This window comes from Homo sapiens, chromosome 2 (assembly GCF_000001405.40).
Source record: "Homo sapiens chromosome 2, GRCh38.p14 Primary Assembly".
Taxonomy (NCBI): domain Eukaryota; kingdom Metazoa; phylum Chordata; class Mammalia; order Primates; family Hominidae; genus Homo; species Homo sapiens.
Window position 1 is genome coordinate 237,569,214 of NC_000002.12, and position 21,827 is coordinate 237,591,040.

Here is a 21,827-nt window from a genome sequence, read left to right on the forward strand (position 1 = left end):
TCCATGCAATGGAATATTACTCAGCCAGGAAAAGGAATGGACCACTGATACATGCCACAACACGGATGAACCTTGGAAGCATCATGCTAAGTGAAAGAAGCCAGGCACAAGAATTCAAATGTTGTATGATTCTGTTTATATAAAAACGTTGTATGACATTGCATATTCTATGGAAGCAGATTCATGGCTGTCAGGGGATAGGGAAGAGGGGTGGGGGGATGACTGCTTAATGGATATGGGGGTTCCCTTTTGGAGGTGGTGAAACGTCTTAGAACTGGACCACGGCAGTGGCTGAAGAACAGAGTGAATGTACTAGAAGCATATTTTCAGCATCCTTCTCCCACGAATAAGGCCAGTCTCCTACATAGCCATAAAATCATCATACCTGAACAAACCGTTGTAGTAATTTCACAATATCATCTAGTTTTTAGTCTGTACTCAGAAATCCCCACATGCAGCAAGACAGTCTCCTTTTTCCCCCACCGGGCTCCAATCTGCATTCACAGTCCGTTGTTTCTCTTTGATTTCCGACCAGTTAATTTTTTATGTTGTCCTGGTGTTGAATTTTTCAAGCACCCAGATGAGTCGTCTTGGAAAATGCTCCACCTGTGTGATTTGTAAGTTGTTCCCCCAAGGTGATGTCCCTGTTCTTCCGTTCCCTGTACTTCCTGTCATCAGAGAGGGGCATCCAGGATCTTGCCTGGATTCAGGTCGCGCACTGTGGACCCAAAAACTGTGTCCTTCCCACTGCATCATATCTGACCATGGGATCCTGGGCTCCCTCTCTGACAGTGCTATTTGACCCTGTGGTAGAGACAGATCTCTTCATTGTAAGAGGTTTTTTCCCTGTGTGATCAATGTGAAATCTGTGCTGGGGCCAGGGCCCCATGGCCAAATCCTGTTTCCCAGCCAGCTTGCGGCCTGAGATGTCAGTGTCCCCTGACTACCCATGCCAGGCTCAGCTGCTGCACCACCAGTCACCCCCACACCATGGTGATTCTCTAATTCCTTCCACAGTCATTAGTTGGATTCTTCCAGAGAAGATATTTCTTTTTTTCTTTTTTTTCAGAACTTTATAATTTTTGACACTCGAATTGGCCTAAATTTGGCCAGTGGGAGTCCTAAACAGGGAATAAATTTTAAAAAAATTAAAAAGAATAGTTCTGTGAGTCAGCCACTCTGGGAAACGCAGACCCATCAGAAGAATGGGATGGGAACATACTCAAGAGGAAACAAGACAGGGCGGGCACGGTGGCTCACACCTGTAATCCCAGTACTTTGGGATGCCGAGATGGGCGGATCACTTGAGGTCAGGAGTTCGAGACCAGCCTGGTGAAGCCCCATCTCTACTAAAAATGCAAAAATTAGCCAGGTGTGGTGGCGGGCGCCTGTAGTGCCAGCTACTTGGGACTGAAGCAAGAGAATCACTTGAACTTAGGAGGCAGAGTCTGCAGTGAGCTGAGATCCCATCACTGCACTACAGCCTGGGTGACAAGAGCAAAACTCTGTCTCAAAACAAAAAAAAAAAAAAAGAGAAAGAGAGAGAGAAGAAAAGGTTAGCATCACAGGCTGGGATGGCAGGGGCTCCCAGGGCCACTCATCAACATTGCCATGCCTCCGGCATCCACCACCACCCCCCACAGGCAAACAACAGCTCACGAGAAGACCCAGGTCCGAACTCAGGCTAAGCAGGGCTGGAGCTGCTTCCCCAGCAGCAGCCTGGACAGTGGGTACATGGACCAGCTTCTCCCAGGATCTGGGGCCAGTGGGGTCCTGGACCCATTTATCCTGAATCATCTGCGACACAAATGTCTGCAGCCCTGCTGGGGCCTCTCCCTGTGTGCTTGCAGAAATAGGGCCTTCCTGCCTGCTGCCCCACCCCAGCCCCGTTTCGGGACAGGAAGATAAGGTGGTGGAGCACTGACACAGGTGAGTCTTCCACACGCAGGTGTCAGGGGCGGCGGGGGCTGTTTTCAGGAAAGCCTGCCTGTTCTTTAGGTCTCTGGGGAAAAAAAACATGCTTTCCTCCCTTTGTTGGATACACATGTGTTGAGTGCCTGGTGTGTGCCAGACAGTGTAGAGGACCCTGGGAATCCCACAGAAATCAGGACAGACAGAGGCCCTGCCCTCACTGAGGTTCTCAGCCTCACCTATGCTCACCTGGAAGGATTTAGAAATCCCTGGGCAGTCTGATGGAATCAGAACCTCTGGGTGATATGCAGCTGAGGCGCTCCATTTTTTTTTTTTTTTTTTTTGAGATGGGGTCTCATTCTGGTGCCCAGGCTGGAATGCAGTGGCTTGATCATGGCTCACTGCAGCCTCGACCCCCGAGGCCTAAGCAATCCTCCCACCTCAGCCTCCAGGGTAGCCAGGACTACAAGTGTGCACCATCATACCCAGCTAATTTTTTGTTTTGCTTTTTGTAGAAACAGGGTCTCCCTTTGTTGCCCAGGCTGGTCACAAACTCCTGGCCTCAAGTGGTCCTCCCGCTTCGGCCTCCCGAAGTGCCAGGATTACAGGCATGAGCCACCGCACCCTGCCCCGGTGTGGGGCTTTCCGAAGCTCCGCAGGTGACTCCAGCACAGGGTTGAGCCCCACCTGCCTAGTGGTGAGGGAGGAGGGGAAAGGGGCAGTCACAGTCCTGGGAGACCCAGGGTTCCAGGACCACCACAGATCTGTCCACTCTTGGGGAGGCCATGAAATGATTCCTGAAGGAGTCAAAGGACACATTTTAATAATAAATGCTGGCATAGTCACAGGAGGTCGTCAAAACAGAGGGGGAAGCAGGCAGTCAGACCTACAGGCATCCTACAAACTTCCCTTGTATTCTTCCCCTTCTATGTCATCAAGCCGCTCCTCTGCAGCTCCTCTGAGAGCCTCCTGGTTCGCCCTTCAGCAGAGCAAGCACTCCGGACGCCAGGACCGTGGGGCTTGCCTTCCACAATGCTGGAGCGCCATCTGGTGGCCACGGGCAACCTCAGCCTCCTGCCGCCCGCAAGCTGGGTCCCCACCCCGGCTGAGGGCCCGCTGCGGGGGCACAGGGCGCGAGGACACAGCCTAGCACACTAGGGACTCACACTTCATGTTCTTCATCGGCAAGGGAATCATCGCGTGAAAAATGGTCCAACTTTACTCGCAGCCGGAAACTGCAGTGTGGATAGCAATAATACAGTGTCAGATTTCACCTGTGAAATTGTCTAAGAAACGAGGACAGTCCTCGCGAAAATCAAGGGAACAGGCCCTCTAGGAAGCTATTGTTTTCTTTATTTATCCTTTAGCTTTTCTTGGAGATCATGACAGAGGTGTGTGAAATCTGCTCTGCATTTGTCTAGTAAAGATCACGTGAGGAGTTCATTTCAGGTCACACTAGCACCAGGAAAGCCAGACTCCAAGGAAGATCCAAGATGTTTCCTTGTCCCCAAGATTGAAAGCTGGATCTGCCAGGGGCCCAGTGGACCCAGGTGGCTCCTCCAGTTAGGAAAACGAAGCCAGGGATCATGAGGGAGGAGCTATTATGAAGCTGTGGTTGGAACACTGAGAAACCCAGGCTGGCAAGGAGGGGCTGTGCCCACCCTAGGCCCAATGGATGAGCAGAGGGAGCAGCCACCAGAACCTGCAGGAGGAAGAGGCCTCTTGGACAGGGGCAGTGGCTTCTGGCCAGGACACAGCCAGCCTCACCAGACAGGCCCTAGGCAATGGCTGGCCTCTGTGTCCCCTCCCCCATCCCCTGCCAGGGCTCCCCATGGTCTGGGCCCCACTGAAGGTCAAGGCCTGGCATCTCTACACAAAGTGAGTGAGAGCAGAAGGAAGCCCGGAGGAGCCGGGGAAGCCTCAGGCACAGAGCTCTTTCCCCTTCTGTGTGATGAGAAGCTCAGCGTCAAACGGGAGGTATTTTGCTTTCTCCTTCCTTGATCCTTACAGCAGCCAATACAGTGATGCCACTTTTTCCAGGTGGATAACAATGTCTTATTGTTTAAAACTTACACCTGCTTATCATAGGGACAAGGATGAAAACCAATATCACCTTCCAAAAAGTGGCCACCTTTGAAATAACCTTGCCACATCAGGTGTCCAGATAGAGACCCAACAGGAAAACATCATGTGGGGTTTACCTCCCAAAACAGGGTCTGGGTTGCTGCAGTTTGGATATTTGTCCCTTCCAAACCTCATGTTGAAATCTGACCCCCAGGGCCAGACGCAGTGGCTCATGCCCGTCATCCCTGCACTTTGGGAGGTGGAGGCGGGTGGATCACCCGAGGCCAGGAGTTGGAGACCAGCCTGGCCAACATGATGAAACCCCGTCTCTACTAAAAAATACAAAAATTAGATGGGTGTGGTGGCACGTGCCTGTAGTCCCAGCTACTCAGGAGGCTGAGGCAAGAGAATCGCTCGAACCTGGGAGGCAGAAATTGCAGTGAGCTGGGATCGTGCCAGTGCACTCCAGCCTGGATGACAGAGCGACACTCCATCTCCAAAAAAAAAAAAAAAAAAGAAGAAGAACTCTGACCCCCAGTGTGAGAGGTGGGGCCTAATGGAAGGTGTTGGGTCATGGGGGTGGGTCCCTCATAAATGGCTTGGTGCCATCCTAGCAGTAATGATGGAGCTCTTACTCCAAAGCTCCTGTAAGAGTTCCCCCAGAGCTGGTTGTTAAAAAGAGTGGGACCTCCCTGCTACCCTCTCCTACTTCCTCTCCCCGTGTGACCTCTGCACGCCAGCTCTCACTGCCTTCTGCCATGAGTGGAAGCAGCCTGGGGCCTCACCAGAAACAGATACCGGCCCTGTGCATCCTGTGCAGCCTGCAGAACCATGAGCCCAATAAACCTCTTTCTTCATAAATCACCCAGCCTCAGGTATCCCTTTATAGCAACACAAAAACAGACTCAGACATGGGTTTCTCTGTAAAGGGAGGCAGGCAGGATGAAGAAGTGTGGCCATCTGGGAATGCATCCCATCCAGAGAGCTGGGCCAGGCCCACGATAGTCACAGCCTGCCGCATGGGCCTGCTTCCTTATTTACTTAACAGGAGCCCTCCCAGAATCTATACAGAAATACCTACAACCATCCACCAGGCGCAGTGCCCTGCCTTGTCCTCAAAAACTTCTAAAAGCCAGATTGTCAAAAGCAATTTAATTTTTGGAGGAAAAACTGCATACGCAGTACAACTTATATCTCAGGCGAAATGTCTCAGAATCTTCCTGCTCATTGGACAGAAACTCAGCTTCACCACATTGCCAGCCGGGAGACCATGGAAGGGAACTGGCGCCACTGCCCCCAGCTGCCCTTCCCAGGGGCAACTTCACCAAGATGTGGAAATCCTGGGCCCACCCCACAGTCAGTCATCGCTCCATTTCTTCCTGGCACCACCACCTCCATCTGGCCTGCTCCCCAACCCCCCAGAAGCAGGTGGGCCCAGGCTCCAGGCCAGTGCCCCCATCAAGATCAGACGTAAGGCATCTTCCCACCGTCGCTGTGCTGCGGGGACTTTTCCAATCCTTCCTTCCTCTCTGTCCAGAGGCTGCCAGGCTGAGGGGGCCACCGTCCAGGTGGAACAGGCACAGGCATCGGGGAATCAGATGGTATCAGTGGGGATAGGGCACAGCACTTTCCTGGGAGCCATGTGACGCCAGATCTTCCTCTGGCAGTTCCCACTGGCTGTGGGAAGTGGTTTTCATAAAGGGGGCCAACTTCCAGGAACATCTAGGGCTCGGGAGCAACCCAGCATTGACAGTGAATCAGAATCCACCTAGAGCTGGCCATGGCCCAGGCAGGGGGTGTCTTCCCCACAGCCCCCAGGAGTGGCTGCACCTAGTGGGCGCAGCATTTGGCCTGCCTCGCGGGCCCCTTGTTCAGAGCCACAGCTGCATCCCCCCGTAGAGCCTGGCCCTCCTCGTCGCTTCTCTGCAGTAGCTCTTGGGCTGTGAACAGCAAGAGGAGGGGGCTGGCTAGGGAGGGAAGTCGCCCAGCCCAGCACAGCCCTGCAGACCAGCCACCCCAGGACCCGCCCCTCCTGTGTTTACCCTGAACCATAGAACAAGGGCCTCCTGCCCCTCCTGGTCACCATCCAGTCCCTAAAGACATTCTATGGGATACCACGTCACCAGCAACAGGGACCCAGGGAAGTTGGTCAGGGACAAGCACCTCCCCCTTGTCTGGCCCACGGGGACGTGACTCACCCACTGTATTGAACACCTCCGACACCTGGTGGTTCAGTTTGGCCGAAGTTTCCATGAACAGCAACTTCTGGCTGTCGGCAAACTCCTTCCCTTCCTGAAGGAAACAGCCACAAAATCCAGCGCTGTTTATAAGAGAGTTTCCTAAGGACACCTGGTTCACTTCCAACAGTAAGATCCGAGAAAGCTGCAGCCGTGGAGCCCGCACTCCTCCACGTTTCGTGTCCAAGTTGTGTTTCTTGGCACTCCTGAGCAGCCAGGACCAGGGAGGGGCGGGGTGTGCTCCCTGGAAGAGGCTCTTCCTCTAGCTGGCGGGGTGCGGCCTTCCTCCTCCTGCAGGGCCTGGAAAGCCAAGTCCCCACCCCCAGGTTCCCCTCCCATCATGCCTGTTGGCACCTGTGGGCTTTGATGCTGGGCAAAGAACCAACTGAGAACCCAGGAAACATGAGGCAGAGGGAGGCCCCTGGACGGCACCCACCTGGGCCCTTCTTCTGGGGAACCCTCATTTTCCAACACAGCTCTCCTCTGGGGAGAAATGGATGTCCCAGAGCAAAGGCAAACCAGAAAACAGCAGGCTTGCAACGGGTGACCAGGAGAAAGCATTCATGGGAAGGCCACAGCCTTGCCCAGGAGTCGAGGGTGGCCGAGGAATGGGGGCCTTCCTGTGCAGGCCCCTCCCCTGGCCTCCGGGACTCTCCCAGGAAGAGGAGCCTGTGGTGGATCCCAGAGGGCACAGCTCAGGCTCCTGACTGTCCAGCCAGACATGGAGCTGGCAGCAGGTGTGGCCGGCCATGCCCCCAGCTCTCGCACCATCCACCATCGTGAGTGCACTCCTCCTGTCCTGGCCCGGAGATCCCTCGGCCGGCCCTGCATTTGTCCCCACTGAGCTCCCCAGCCAGCTCCCCAGACAGACGCTCCAAACCCACCCTGGCCGCCCACTGCCCCTCCAAGCCTTGAGTAACCTCGTGCCCATGTTTTTGTGCCTGCCCAAGCACACAGCCCATGTAGTCACTCTCAGAGGGCACAGCTCTGCTGCCAGGATCCTCTCTCCCCCACCCCAACTTGCAACGAGGGCTCAGACTGACGCTGTCTCCCTTTGCTCCCCTTGCTCTCCCCCGAGATTCTCCAAAATCTTCACCCCACTTCTCCATCTCTCCACAGCCTCCATTGAAGCTGGGGCCTTTTCTCTTTGGGAGGCGCGCCCGTCGGTCTAAGCCCTGAGTTGGGTCTTCCCCTGCGCCAGCCTCTAGTGTGTGTGGGGTCTCCCCATCAGCCACTTGTCTGCAGCTGTTTACACGGTCTTCGTCCTAAATGTGGTGGGGGAGGTGGGATGCCGTGGAAGAGAAACAACAGCGACACCTGGGTGACCGCTGCCTCTGCCTGTAAGGAGGACTGACAAAACTCGAGTGAAGGAGGCTACATTTGCACAGAAGCCCCTTCTGGGAACAGAGTAGGGAAGGGAGCCCTGCTGAGGAACTAGATCACTTTTCTCGTTCAAGCCGAGCCCACCCTGCAGCTGCCGCCCTGCCCTTCCCTCTGCCGGCCACTGGGCTTGAACTGCCATTGCACTGGGCCTGAGTTTTTCAGGAAAGACCGGAAATCTTTGACTAAAAGAGAAACTCAGGTGGAAAGCTGTGTGTGTGTGCGTGTGTGTGTGTTCACTTGTAAATGTGTGTGGGTGCAAGTGAGAGTGAATGTGGGGGGTGTGCATGTGTGTAAATGCATGTGGGCGTGTAGAGGTGTGTGTGCACATGTGTAAGTGTGTGCGTGTGTGGGTGTGCGTGTATGAAAGTGTGAGTGCCAAGGTCTTGACACAGGCGGGCAGGGCTCTCTCCTGCTGTGGAAGAGCAGAGCAGGGTCTCCTGGGCGGTACCTGGAAGGTCACCTCCCGCTCCTGGCTGAGGTCCGTCTTGTTGCCCACCAGCATCACCAGGACTTCTCCTGGGTGCAGCTCCTCCTCCAGGTCCTTCAGCCACTGCTGAGCCTTGAGGAAGGAATCCTAGAAAAGAAGAAAAAAAGTAACATCAAACAAAACTTATAGGTGGTCATTAGCTATTCCGGGAGGGGGAAGCCAGTGTTGCTGATCACGTTGTGTAAAATGTCACAGAATCCAACTGGCCATGGGCGCACCTGCAGGGCTGCTCCGTTCCTCTGAGGAGGGCACGTTCCTGTCCTGGGTGACCTGTGCGGCCAGGCAGAAAACTGCTAGGACACACATCAGATCCTTCACCCTGACCAGGCCCAGGAGACTGCCAGCCACGGGGTATTTCAGGTCAGGCCTCGAGCTCCTGAATCTCCCACGCCTAGCTGTCCTCAAAGGACCACTTTGTGCAAGAGAGTCTGGGGGACTGGCCACCACCCCAAACCCTGACCCTAATGCAGCACCAGGAACTACTGAGTGGCAGATGGCAACGGCATGTTCTTTGTGGACCACGGAGGAGCAGAACCCCACTGTGGAGGAGGATGGGGGGTTGTCAGGAGGCCATCCTGGAGGAGGTGACTGTTGCTCACTAATGGAGTCTCTGTTCCTTGTGATTACGCCATGGCATCATTGCACTGGAGAAACCAGAAGGCAGGTGCTTGGGAAGGAGGGTGGGACGTGCCTCAAGGCGGGCCCTACCTTCCTGGTGATGTCGTACACCAGAAGCGCAGCGTTGGCACCCCTGAAGTAGAGGTGGCAGACGCTGTGGTACTTCTCCTGGCCAGCTGTGTCCCAGATCTCAAGCTTCAGAGAGGTGGCACCCACATCCACCACCTTTGTGAAGAACGCACCTGAAACAGGGAGGCCCAGAGGGCTTACTCAGAGGACGAGGTTGCCACATGCGGCTCAGGTGGGACCACGGCAAGCCGCAGGCACAGCAATGGGCTCAGAGGGACAGCTGGCCATGCATCTCCCACGCCCGCATGGCCAGGAGGTTGAGCAAACAGTTCTTCTGGGAGATGGAGCCTTCCACATCGAGCAAAGTGTTGGGAGTGATTGCTATGGGGCCTTTGGAGAGGCTTTGGATGGGAAGATAAATCTCTCCAGGACCTAATACAAAAGCTCTGGGCTACATATGCCGTGAAAGGGATCTCCACTTACTGGGAGTCCGATGCATCCCTGCCAGCTTCCAGCGATGCAGCTGGGCTCTGGGAACCCCTAGAGCCCTGGGCACCCCCGGCCTACCGGCCCCTCGCCTGCCAGACCCATCTTGCACAGAGGCAGTCACGATTGCATAGGCTCCTCCAAGGCCTTCCTCGCCTCCTGCTAACCTCCCCACTTTCCCAATGCTGCTCCCCACCAACACCCTTCTCTACTGTCCCCTCTGCATGGTATCCTTCCTCTTGTTCACCTAGAAAACTCTTAGGCATCCTCTGAGATCTTCCAGCGGCAACCCCGGAAGGGCTGCTGGGCCCCCTGCCTCCACGGAAGCCTCCCTGCACCCCATACACACCCAGAGGCAAGGCCTCCTGCGTTCTCCACCTGTCTCCCCCAGGAAGGCAGGGGCTTTGTCTTACTCAGCCATGTACCTGCTTAACACACACACACACACACACACACACACACACACACACACAACTACTCCCAAGCACTTTAACATATTGGGCAATGCACTGTTCATTTAAAGATTTTCTACCCTTTGCTTTCCAAAGTTATATGATTTTAAAATGGTTATTTTATAGATCTCCAAAATGTTTTGCCCCATTGTGTGTGGCTTGTCAGGAATGTGTTATACACAGAACTGGAGAGGACGGGGCGGGGGAAGGCAAGGTGTCTGGGGCATGGAGGAGCCACCAGCACCGACAGGCTCCTGTCAAAGCTGCTACCCTGCCTAGACCCTGGATTGGGTTTGGGGTCTGTTGGGGAGATTCTGGCAAATGGAGCCACATGTTTAAAATAAAAACTTACACTCCAAGGACAGTGCATGAGTGTCCTGCGGCTGCCAAAACAAAGTCCCATGAGCCGAGTGGCTCAAATTAGCAAATTTCTTCCTGCAGTTCTGGAGGCCAGAGGTCCAAAACTGATGCGTTGGCTGGGTTGGTTCCTTCCGGAGACTGAAGGAGAATCCATTCCAGGCCTCCTCCAGCTTCAGGGGCTGCCGGCAACCCTGGTGTTCCTGGTGGCTGCATCACCCCCATCTCTGGCTCTGTCTTCACGTGGCTGCCCCTCTGTGGCTGTGTCCTCTCCCCTTCTTATAAGGATGTCAGTCACTGGACTTAAGGGCTATCCTAAGTTCCATCTTGTTGGCCTTAATTAATTACATCTGCAAAGACCCTCTCTCCAAATAAGGTCGCACTCACAGGTTCCGGGGGTTAGGACTTAATCGCCTCTTTACGGGTGGGAGAAACTCAATTGCACCCACTAGACAGAGAACAGGAGGCTGGACAGAGAACAGGAGGCTGGACAGAGCTTTCCAGCATGGTGCAGCAAGACCGTGCTTCTCTATCATGAGACAACCTCTTCCTAAACGGAAACCACTGCCTGGGCTCTTCTGCCCGCATGTCCTGCAGTTCCCTGCAGGTCCAGGAACTTGAAGTCAGACCAACTCCCCAGGTCAAACAAAGCTGCAGTCTCCATCCAGACAGTAGGACCAGTGATTTCCAGCTTAGATGGGGCAACTGTCGGGACTGAACCGGCTATAAACCTCTGAACACACCAGATGCTCCACTGGATTGACAATGGTGCCAGAATGAAGACCGTGCCCAGAATATAAATGTACACCCATCAGCTGATCTGATGGCAGCTTGCTTAAACTTTCTAAGTCTCAGCTTCCTCATCCATAGCAGGAGCTAATGGTGCCCTTCACCCAGGGTGGCTGTTAAATCGCCTGAGCAAGGAGAGAAAGGGCATATGAATTTTGCTTCTTCTTTCTGTCCTCTTTGCTCTTTGTGGACTTGTTGTCTTAAAACGTGGGCCTTTTATCCACATCTTTCTGTTTCCCATCACTTCAAATCACATTTCTCAGTTTGAATTTGGTTTTATCTTAAAAGCTGGCGCAGGGTGAAACGTGAGCATAAAATTCAGGTTTTCTTCCTCCATTTACCAATCTTAGCCTCTCATATTTTCCTTTTCCATGTTGAAAATGATGGCTGGAGGCTGGGCACAGTGGCTCATGCCTGTAATCCCAGCACTTTGGGAGGCCGAGGTGGGTAGATCACTTGAGGTCGAGTTCAAGACCAGCCTGACCAACATGGTGAAACCCTGTTTCTACTAAAAATACAAAAATTAGCCAGGTGTGCTGGCATGCCCCTGTAGTCCCAGCTACTCGGGAGGCCGAAGCAGGAGAATCGCTTGAACCCAGGAGGTGGAGGTTGCAGCGAGCCAAGATTGTGCCACTGCACTCCAGCCTGGGCAGCAGGAGACAGAGTGAGACTCTGCCTCAAAAAAAGAAGGGGGGGGAGGAGGGGAGGGAAAATGATGGCTGGTGGTTGAATTTACACTAATGTAAAATTCCAGCAAATTTCCAAGGAGGGCATGGGTTTTAGTCCAAGCAATGATAATGCATAATAATAGTCAATGTTTGGCTATTTACAGAACATAGACCCTTCCCTTCCCTGCAGAGATGTAAGGCCCTCAGGTGGGCCCCTGGACAGGTATTTGAGGCAACCTAGTCTCGTGCACTCCGTGGCTCTGACCCGGAAGACAGCATGCATTTATTATCATAACCTTTTTCAGAAACCCACTAACCACATTTCTATATCTCCATGGCTAAGGCCAAAATGTAATTAAAAAATAAAGTTTTGGCTGGGTACAGTGGCTCATGCCTGTAACCCCAGCATTTTGGGAGGCCAAGGAGGGAAGATCAATCTAGCTCAGGAGCTTAAGATCAGTGAAACCTTGTCTCTACAAAAAACACAAAAATTAGCTGGGTGTGGTGGCGCACACCTGTGGTCCCAGCTACTGAAGAGGTGGAGGTGGAGGCTTGCTTGAGCCCAGGAGGTTGAGGCTACAGTGAGCTGTGATCATACCACCACACTCCAGCCTGGGCAACAGAATGAGACGCCATCTTAAAAAAAAAAAAAAAAGTTCCTCTACTAAATTTTATTTTTTTAATTTAATTTTATTTTTTTAGTAGAGACACGGTTTCACCATGTTGCCCAGGCTGGTATCCAACTCCTGAGCTCGGGCAATCTGCCCGCCTCGGCCTCCCAAATTGCTGAGATTATAGGCATGAGCCACTGCGCCCAGCCTCTCTACTAAATGTTAATATCATTTAAGTGGTTTTGCTTTTTTTACCTTTTAATTTAAATAAACAGCCAATTCTGCTCATTGAAGCCCTCTCTGTAGCACTTGGCTGTTTTGTAAAAATAGTGAGCTGATGACAAATTGAAAGGAACATGAAATGGAAACTTATTTTCTGGGGGCTCTAGGACGTCAGCCACGTTCTCGATTTAGAAGGGAAGTCAGCTGGTGCCAAGTTGAATGTGCTCAGTACCTGTTTGTCACCGTCCCCTTCCTGGAAAAAGCCCAACAAGTCTGGGGTTAGTTGTGGCTTCAGCTGGCAAATGTGCACACAAGCACTAGATGTCACCATCCTTCCAAAAGATGTCATGCAGAAAGTCAGCAGCGCACAGAATCTCCCCTGCTGTGGCCTGTTAGGACAGTGGGGGCAGTCCATGGGGAGGTCCAGCCCCCGTCCCTGACACAGCAGGGGCTCCTAAAGCTGCCACCTCCGCAGCAGGCCCTGGCGGGGGTGGGCGGGAGGCTGCGCTCACTTGGACTCCCGTCCCTCGGACTCCCGTCCGTTCTGCCTCTGCTCCTGCCTGCTCTTCTGGCTCCAGCCAGCACGTTGGCTTTCCAGCTTCAGGGCTCGAGTCCATGTCCCTTTCTGGCTCTGCTTCCTGCTTCCTCTGGATGGACGGTGTCTTGCCAGGAGCTGAGCCCACCACCTGTGTCATGTCCTGCTGTGGGCCCCACCCCACACACCTGTCGACTGAACCAGACCCTCGGGAGGGCCCCAGGGACCTGAGTCAATCCTCCTGAAGGCTGACCCCTCGGACAGGGCCGGCCTTGGTGACCTTAAGCCACCCAGGGTGACAGCAACCTTTCATGGAGAGGCCACTCCAGGAAGGTGTTTACACTCCCGTTTCACAGGGAAAAAATCCAGACGGAGGGAAGGAGTGGCATGCCTGTGGCCATCCATCCTGTCCCTCCCTCGGGGATCCTGCAGCCAAGCACTGGGCGTGCTGCCTCCTGCATTTCCAGGCCGCCTGTGAGGACAGCACTCCCATTCTCCTCTGAGGCTCTGCTCCTGGCCTACCCTCTCCCCTGGACAGGAGCCCAGTGTTCTTGATAAAAGCTGAAGCCACACGTGACAAAAGAAGCAGGAGTGTCTGCTCTCAAAGGGTTTTTGTGCAACACAGATCACTCTTCCCCCAAAGCACGTAAGTTAAAGGAGTGAGCACATCCCATCTCCTCATCCTAAAAGTGGCAATATCCACATTTATAATATGTGATCATGTAATTATTATAATGAGGATTAATAATTAACATACACTTTGGGAGGCCAAGGGTGGTGGATTCCTTGAGGTCAGGAGTTCAAAACCAGCCTGGCCAACATGGTGAAACTCCGTCTCTACTAAAAATACAAAAATCAGCATGGTGGTATGCACCTGTAATCCCAGCCACTCGGGAGGCTGAGGCAGGAGAATCACTTGAACCCAGGAGGCAGAGGATGCAATGAGCCAAGGTTGCACCACTGCACTCCGCCTGGGCAACAGAGCGAGACTCCGTCTCAAAAAAAATAATAATAAAATAATTAACATAGGCCGGGTGCAGTGGTGCACACCATGGCAAAACCCTATCTCTACAAAAAATATAAAAATTAGCTGGCTATGGTGGTGCGCACCTGTGATAGCAGCTACTCTGGAGGCTAAGGTGGGAGGATGGCTTGAGCCCAGGAGGCAGAGGTTCCAGTGAGACACTGCACTCCAGCCTGGGTGACAGAGCAAGACTCTGTCTCAAAAAAATTAACATAATGATAATAATAAATTGCATGACATCTATCCATAGTTACAGTAATATCTACCTCTAAAAGCTGTAATATTATCCCAAGGTGTGACGCAGACACTTGGATGGAAGCAGAGGAGACCATGGTTCCCACAGGGGACTCAGCCAACAGCAAAGGAAGGAGCTTCCACATTTCTAACCCCGCAACCCGGCACAGCTGCCCACACACAGAGGTGCTCAATACAAAAGTGCGGACCCCAGGGTTGGAGGCTGATGGGATGAAGGCAGCTCATGAGCCACAGGCTAACCTAATCTGGCTGTTCTCCTCTCCCCGTTGTGCCACGGGCCACAGCCCACAGCCTCCCACCCCGGCCCCATCACAGAGACCCAGAGTGGGAACAAAGACTCCACCCACCAGTTCTGGGTGAAAGGCAGAGCCCAGCCTGTAGAACGGTCCTTCCCCTCAGAGAGAGGAGATAAACCCAGGCCTGGAAGAGAGGGGCTTGGAGGAAGGGAGGCCCTGGCTTTCATCTGAAAGCTGCCGGCAGGGGGATGGCCCCTGCGGGGCCAGACAGAGGACCAGGAGTAGAGTGAGACATACAGGCCTGCCCCCCAAGCAAAGACCCCCAACCTGGCCTAGGACTCCCCAGCAAGCCCAGCTTTGTTCACCCCCCGACCCTGGTAGGCCCCCTGAAGAGAGGGCAGGCAATTGGTACAGGCAGGGCAGGTGTGAGGGGGATGCTCGGACCCTGGCTTGCTGGAATGAAAGGAACTAGGGCCTCGCGCCTCATTGTCGGGGCCTCCATCCCCCTCACCTGTAAAATACAGAATGCCCGGCACCACCCTGAAGCTTCACAGACCCCACACATCACCCCCCCACCCCCACCCAAGAAAGGTGGGTGCTCTGTGGGTACAGCTCTCTGTGGGCTGAGCACGTCCAAGCACGTCTCAATGAATCCAAAGCACCCTCCTACGCTCCAACCGGGCATCTCGGAATCTCTCAGCCCTGCTTGCGCTCACCTAGTGAGTGCCTTTGGGCGCTGGCTCCTGCAGGCTCTGCTAGGGTGGCGTCATGGAGTCCTTCTGTAAAAGGCCCTGTAGCAGATACTTTAGGTTTTACTGGCCATGGGGTCACTGCTGCAACCACTCAACCCTGCTGCCATTTTAGAGTGAATAGAGGAGGAGGAACAGCAAGAATATCATTTACAGAGGGTAAGTACCTGAAGAGGTAGAGTTGTGTCTCCACAGAACCTTACTCACAAAACAACAAGAACAGCCAGAGAGCCACAGTGTGCAGACCTCCGTGTCAGAGTGAGATCCATCCCCAGTCCAGCTCACCTGGCCTGACACCTGCTGCCTCTCTCTGCATCTTGAATACCAGCCACCCAGGTACAAAGCTCTCAACATCCAGGCCTGGTGAGGCCCCCATCTGTGTGCTCTATTCTCAACTGAGGCCACCCTCAGGCCAGCCTTGGCATTTTGATGTATTTTTAAAGGAAGCCAAGTCCAATATCAGGACTTGGGGGGTGAGGGGTACAGATCTCCTTGCTAATGGAGAAGAGGATTGTACTGCACACCACAGGGTAACCTTGACTCTCTCCCCAGGGTCCCCCTCTGCAGACAGCCTCTCACCATCACCCTGGCCCTTCTCACCACTAGCTCTGGGAGTCGGGCCAGGCAGACCCCTGCCAATTCCCCTGTATCCCCTGGGGATCCTTCAGGAACCACCCCCCTGAGAAAATGGAAGGGCTCCCTAAATAGCTAACGTCATGTGCCACATCTTGCAATTGTGTTTCTGTGTTTGGTGCATCTGTTTAGCTGGTTATAGAATCCATCCCACCTAACGCAGGCCTGCAAAAGGGTTCATGCTCAACAGATGCCTGTTAGATGAGTAAATGAATGAGTGAATTTGGAGATGTGCAGCTTATCCATGTCAGAGTCCGAATTTGAAACCGAGGCTCTGATTCTGCATGTGTTCCCCCAGGGGGAATGGGCATAAAGAACACGCTGGCTTTCCCCATTTCAGGTGAAAACTGGGTTTCACTGCCTAGGCAGACTGTGCCCACAGCAGGATGGGAAGGAGGCCAGCAGCCTGCAGATGCCCCATACAGTTACTCCTGAGCTTCATGACAGGTTAGCCTTTTTAAGAAACACAGAGAGAAGGTCTCCCTCCCCGCCCACCCCCAAAATGATCTTCCCACCCCCAATCCAGGCCAAGCTGGTAAACCAAGTCCAGGCAGGAAGGAAGATGCTGTTGGGGTAAATAAAGCAAGGGAGCAGTGTTAGCAGGAGGGCGGCCTGGGTGGTGGGAGAGGACAGCTGGTTTAGGCCGCTGAGTGGCCAGGGCCCAGGAGGCTTCTTCCGGGCTGTCCCTTCCACCAGCATAATCCCTCGCACCCAGCCCGACCCTTTGGGGCCAGAGGTCCTACCCCAGAATCTCCACCCCCTGCAGACTCCAGCTGAGCTGAAACCTGACCCAGAGCCAAGGGCATTTCCTGTCTTTGTAGATTCTGTGGCTGCCCTCTTGGACCTCACCCCCTCCCCTCACGCACTGGACACAGGCAGCTCAAGGTCCCAGCATGGGGATTCCTAGGTGGGCCTCGTCCCCATCTGCCCCAGGTGTGGGTCAGCAGCCCAGACTTCTGCACTGAAGACCAACAAAGGGGTGCTCTGCCCTCACTTACAGCCCACCGTAGGCAGGATACTCTTGAAGTCGTTCTTCACGTACCGAAGAGCCAAGCTGGACTTACCCACGGAGCCACTTCCCAGGAGAACCAGCTTGAACACACGGGGCTGGCTGGGGGCAGCCCTGGGCTGGGGGGTCCTGTGTGCCTGTGCCATGCCCTGCAAAGAATCACAACCGTCTGAAGCAAGTGGAACATCGGAGCCACATCATCTCAGCAAGCTCAACCCCGGGGCTGCTTCTCGGTCAGGAGCAGATGGCCCAATACAGAGCTCCCAACTCAGAGGCCACCTAGGTCCACACTCCTGCTTCCCTCTGCACCCCATGCCCCATCTCCCCATCTGCAATTTTTAGGTCCATTTTTAGGTCTGTGGTAAGGAACAAAAGGAGCTTTGCTTGGAAAGCTCCGGGCACGGGTCATTGCAGACCCTGAAAAGCAATGATTACATGTGACGGTCTCAGGGCTTGTTGTCCTCCTTCCATTACTTTCAGTTTTTACAAATCTATTACTTGTCCCCAAAGTATCTAATGCAAGGAGAGGTAAAAAGCATCTGAGCATTTCTTGGGTGGTTGTTCATGGATTAAAGTTGGTGTTTCAGAAAAAATCTACCTAAAAAAAGGTTGGTGTCTCAATGATCTCAAAACATCGTAGACACATTCCCATTGTGTCTAAAGCCTCAGAACCCACAGTAATATGCCCCAGAGAAAACCAACTTCGTGATCAAAATAAACGTGGGCGACCCCTGCGTATTTTTCATCATAGAAACTTTCATGTACACACCACAATAGAGAGAACGGTCCGATGGGCCCATAGACCCACCTCCCGCTTCCCCAGTAATCAGCTCAGCCATTTGTATCACTCACACTCCCAAACCTCCCCCTGCAGGGTACTGTGTAAAGCAGATCCCAGGCATTCTATCATCTGCAAATCTCAGTAGAGATACAGGTATTTTTTTTTCTTTGCAGTTCATGTGTTGAAGAAATCAGGTTGTCCTGTAGATTTCCAGTACGGATGTTGCTGATTACACCCCTGTGTTATTGAATAGAGTCCTATGAACTCTGTATTTTTGATACCGCGGTGGTTCAGGACATAAACCTGATTAGATACAGGCTATTTTTTGGCAAGATTGCCATGAGAGTGTGCGTGCACTTCCCACAGAAGGCAAATAATGTCCAGTTGTCTTTCTGTGATGTTGGCAGTCACTGAAGACTATTACTTCGACCCACTATTTTACTAAGGGGTTGCAAAATGGTGACATTCTAATAATGTTCTAATGTTATCACTTTGTGTTTATTATCTAGGAAGAGAAGCTCCCCACAAAAAATATGAAACCCATCAGGGGCAGCTGGTCCTGGGAACAGAGTCTCTTCTCCCTTCCTCACCACAGTGGGCAAGAGGGAGGCTCCCTAAAGGGGGAAGGGGAGGAATTTTGAAAAGGAAAGAAGAAAAGCAGGAGTGGTTGGAAGCAGCCCACATGCCCTCACTGCCGCCAGTAAGGAGCCATGGCCACAGACTGGTCTGGTCTGCCCTGCAGGGATAAGAGGGGAGGGAATCAAGTTTGGAATCAATCTCAAAACAAATAGGACTGAGTCCTAGATACCAAGAAGATCGTTCTAGAGAGAAAGTGACTGAGAGTCATGGAGTCCAGAACAGGAGGGTTTAGGGCTCTCTACCCATCAGAGAAGAAGGGTTCCACATAGTAGACTCGGGTGGTTATCCCAAACATGCCTGGAACCCCATCTTAGCTGGAAATACTCAAGTTTCACCATCAAGTATGATGCTGGCTTCAGAGACGGATAAAAAACATAACATTAAGTTTTCCATCTGTGTTTCTTAAAAAAAAAAAAAAGAAAAGAAAAAGAAAGAAAAAGAAAAAGAAAAGCTCTCCAGGTGATCTCAGTATGCAGCCAAGACTAGGAATCACTGCTAGAATTCTGTTTTCCTTGGAGCTGGGAACAGTGTCTAGCACATAGTAAGTACTAATTCCTAAGAAATGAATGAATGAGGCCAAGCATGAAGAGCACATAACACAGCACCTGTGCTTTGAAATATCCACCTGGATTGAGGATGATTTCTTGGGGCCAGCTATGGTTTGCATGGATCTTCCAAAAAGCAGATTTGGAAACTTAGTCCCCAGTGCAACCATGCTAGGAGGTGGGGCCTAATGGAAGGGGGTTGGGTCATGAGGACTCTGCCCTCGTTAATCCACGCCCAGCACAGATTAACACTGCTGCGTCTTGCACATCCACAAGCCTGCGTGTTCTCTTGCCCTTTCACCTTCCACTGTGGGATGACACAGCAAGAAGGCCCTCAACAGATGTAGACCCCTTGGCCTTGGACTTCCCAGCCTCCAGAACCATAAGAAACAAATCTTTGTTCTTTATACATTTCTGTCCCAGGAATTCTGTTAAAGCAGCACAAACAGACTAAGACAGCATCTGAGGCACAGTGAGAGTGCCTGGGGTGGGAACTTAGTCCAGCAGATGATCCGCTCAAGTCAGCTGGGGACAGGCTCTCAGAGGTCAAGGCACGGCCCAGACTTTCCACCCTTTGGTGGAAGGGGAAAGGGTAGCGGGGGCGGGGTGAGGGAAAAAAGACTACTCAATGGCTACAGTGTACACCGCTCTGGTATGGGGTGCAACAAAATCTCAGAAATCACTAAAGAACATATCCCTGTAACCAAATACCACCTGTTCCCCTAAAATCTATTGAAATAAAAAATAATTTAAAATAAACAGAGATACCCCTTCAAGTTCTCTTTGCTATTTATTTGCATAGGTTAATAAAACCTTTCCTAAGTCAAAAAATCTGTAGCCCGAAACATGTCTGAATTAACTGAAACAGGTGGACTCTGAAGGAATGCACCATGACCACTGGGATGCCGGCGTCTCATTCCTTTGACAATGATATGTCTCTTTGTTTAATGAAGTTATTTTATTTTTGGGCTGGGCGCAGTGGCTCATGCCTGTAAAGGCACTTTGAGAAGACGAGGCAGGTGGATCACTTGAGGTCAGGAGTTGGAGACCAGCCTGTCCAACACGGTGAAACCCCATCTCTACTAAAAATACAAAAATTAGCTGGGTGTGGTGGCACACGCTTGTAATCCCAGCTACTCGGGAGGCTGAGGCAGGAAAATCGCTTGAACCCAGGAGGCAGAGGTTTCAGCGAGCCAAAATCCCACCATTGCACTCCAGCCTGGGTGACAGAGCGAGAATCTGTCTCCAAAAAAAAAGGTTATTTTACTATAAACATACAAGTGTCAATATAAAAGAAGCAGCTACCCATAACTCCACCCCCGTAATACAACCACAAATGGTATTTTTGCCTACTTCTAGTTTTTTTCTATGACTCCTAAAAACAAACCAAAACCCATAGTTTTAACATAAAATTATTATCCGATGGGTAAGAAATACTTAATACCAAAGGCAGTCTCACACATTGCTTCAAAATCATGTTTAATGGACATATAACATTTCTACAACTATCTCAACTTGCTGAACCATTTTCCTAATACTGGATTTTTACTTAGTTTTAATTTTTTCTCTGTAATAAGACTGCAGTAAACATTTTCTTATATAACTTTTTGTGTGATTGAGTGTTGTAAGCTTTCAATAATGAGAGGTTGGAGCCTTCTGTCCAAAGAGAAAATTAAAAGTGTGGCACCTGACCCCCACCTCCAGAATTTAATCAAGATGGGGTTATTAGTAGTGAAAGATGTTATTAGGTTGTTGAAGACAAAGATGTTTTCAGGAACACCATATTCAAGACTGGCGCTTCTCTAGTAATCTTAACTTGGGGCTTTTTAATCTCTTGCACCTCCCTTCCACTAAAGGGAAAAAAAACGGAGAGCAAATCCCACATTAGTCTTTTTTGCGGGGAAGGGGCCATTCCAGGGAAGGGTCTGATTGATGAGTCTATCGGCAACTGTGATCCTGTGTCACCCTTGCCTGGGGCCTGTGAAGAATATTGAGATTACGAGAGGTACACCTGTACATTGCATTCAGAATACAGCCATCTGATACAGAAAACACAATGTAGATTGTAAAAAGGAGTTTACAAGAAAACCTGACAAGCTTCCTAGATATCACTGGGTATTAAATTGGGAATGTTGATGTCATTTGAAATGGATTTCTTTAAGAGTTCTTCTCATTACCAGAAGTTTTTTGTGTTTTTTTTTTTCAAGACCTTAAAACCGGAACTTTCCCGAAGAAAAATGCAAATAAGAATCTCCTTCTGGGAATCCGACTTAGTGAGCCATCAGAAATCTGAACTAGGAAGTCTCCGCCCCAGCTTTGTCCTTTGATTATACACACATGGGCACATGCACAGACACAAACAAATACAGACATGGGTACAAACACGTGAGCACACACACAGACACACAGAGACTCACACACAGAGAAGCAGAGACACACACACACACAGGCAGACACTCCACAAAGGGCACAGAGGTTTAAACAATGACTCACCTGTTCCCCAGGCCCGGTCACTTGCAGGGAGCTGAAGAGCCTGTCATCACCAGTCCACAGCGTTGCTACCTGTCTCCGCTTTCTCCTCTCTCTGGTCCAGGGGAAGGTTTGCTTCCCTCCACAGGCAGGACAGGACAGGAGGAGCCTCTACTCCAATGGAAAACAGCCGCAGAGCAGAGGTCAAGAGCAGCAGCCTCGGACCAGAGCAATGCCCACTGGACCCCAGCGCCAAGGTCAGGCCTCTTCTCCTCCCAGAAGGTTTCAGGGCAAAGTCCACAGTGGTCATGTGGTCACCTGAGGCAGGGCAGGAGGCTGGACCTCAAAGCAGGTGACCCGGGAGCACCTGCGCGCTGCCGGAAGTCAAGTCACATTCCAGTCCTGCATTTCCTGGCACCCAACTGGAGCCCGTTTTTCAGCTTTATTCCGGGGTTTCACTTCCAGGATCTCACTTTGGCACAGAATGTTTTTCTTGGCTCCTTCCTTGGAGCTGTATGGAATCTTTGTTGCACTTGAAAAACCAACAGCCCAGAAGAGAAAAGAATATTCCGGTCAGATGAATTAATTCCTCCCACTG

The 21,827-nt window shown here is 51.9% G+C and overlaps 1 protein-coding gene across 7 annotated transcripts, besides 5 other annotated features; it reads right to left on the reverse strand.

Moving 5' to 3' along the window:
* Window positions 2,880-3,065: a silencer, noted in NCBI's record as "fragment chr2:238480736-238480921 (GRCh37/hg19 assembly coordinates)". NCBI's record gives its function as "represses an EF-1alpha promoter that drives an FKBP-Casp9 reporter gene in an ReSE screen in phorbol 12-myristate 13-acetate-treated (for megakaryocytic differentiation) K562 erythroleukemia cells {active_cell/tissue: K562(+PMA)}" and the evidence as "EXISTENCE:reporter gene assay evidence [ECO:0000049][PMID:32094911]".
* Window positions 3,659-4,194: an enhancer, noted in NCBI's record as "H3K4me1 hESC enhancer chr2:238481515-238482050 (GRCh37/hg19 assembly coordinates)". NCBI's record gives its function as "activates a minimal SCP1, AML or CMV promoter by ChIP-STARR-seq in primed H9 embryonic stem cells {active_cell/tissue: H9 hESC(primed)}" and the evidence as "EXISTENCE:reporter gene assay evidence [ECO:0000049][PMID:30033119]".
* Window positions 5,113-21,521, reverse strand: RAB17 (RAB17, member RAS oncogene family). 7 transcript variants are annotated; one of them, XM_006712689.3, is made up of 6 exons: window positions 21,254-21,521; window positions 16,851-16,944; window positions 8,791-8,942; window positions 8,044-8,169; window positions 6,174-6,267; window positions 5,113-5,915 (listed from the first exon to the last, which is right to left on the reverse strand). In XM_006712689.3, exons 2-6 carry the CDS (start codon window positions 16,939-16,941, stop codon window positions 5,806-5,808), a joined length of 573 nt encoding a protein of 190 aa, XP_006712752.1. In that variant the 5' UTR covers window positions 16,942-16,944; window positions 21,254-21,521; the 3' UTR covers window positions 5,113-5,805. The 7 variants fall into 7 exon arrangements, 6 of the variants coding, with proteins under 6 accessions (XP_006712752.1, XP_047301369.1, NP_071894.1 ...); XM_047445413.1 differs by having other exon boundaries at window positions 6,174-6,295; NM_022449.4 differs by having other exon boundaries at window positions 16,785-16,944.
* Window positions 5,313-6,012: an enhancer, noted in NCBI's record as "H3K4me1 hESC enhancer chr2:238483169-238483868 (GRCh37/hg19 assembly coordinates)". NCBI's record gives its function as "activates a minimal SCP1, AML or CMV promoter by ChIP-STARR-seq in naive H9 embryonic stem cells {active_cell/tissue: H9 hESC(naive)}" and the evidence as "EXISTENCE:reporter gene assay evidence [ECO:0000049][PMID:30033119]".
* Window positions 7,411-8,109: an enhancer, noted in NCBI's record as "H3K27ac-H3K4me1 hESC enhancer chr2:238485267-238485965 (GRCh37/hg19 assembly coordinates)". NCBI's record gives its function as "activates a minimal SCP1, AML or CMV promoter by ChIP-STARR-seq in primed H9 embryonic stem cells {active_cell/tissue: H9 hESC(primed)}" and the evidence as "EXISTENCE:reporter gene assay evidence [ECO:0000049][PMID:30033119]".
* Window positions 12,354-12,988: an enhancer, noted in NCBI's record as "H3K27ac-H3K4me1 hESC enhancer chr2:238490210-238490844 (GRCh37/hg19 assembly coordinates)". NCBI's record gives its function as "activates a minimal SCP1, AML or CMV promoter by ChIP-STARR-seq in primed H9 embryonic stem cells {active_cell/tissue: H9 hESC(primed)}" and the evidence as "EXISTENCE:reporter gene assay evidence [ECO:0000049][PMID:30033119]".
* Window positions 21,522-21,827: the final 306 nt, after the last annotated feature.

Bases quoted from the DNA above. Each gene is read 5' to 3' on its own strand.
- RAB17 (XM_017004693.3), bottom strand. From the start codon at position 16,941: ATGGCACAGGCACACAGGACCCCCCAGCCCAGGGCTGCCCCCAGCCAG. The intron at 8,943-16,784 runs GTAAGTGAGGGC...TCCCTGTTTCAG, and splicing joins TATCCTGCCTACGGTGGGCT to GTGCGTTCTTCACAAAGGTG. The intron at 8,170-8,790 runs GTAGGGCCCGCC...CTTCTTTTCTAG, and splicing joins TGTACGACATCACCAGGAAG to GATTCCTTCCTCAAGGCTCA.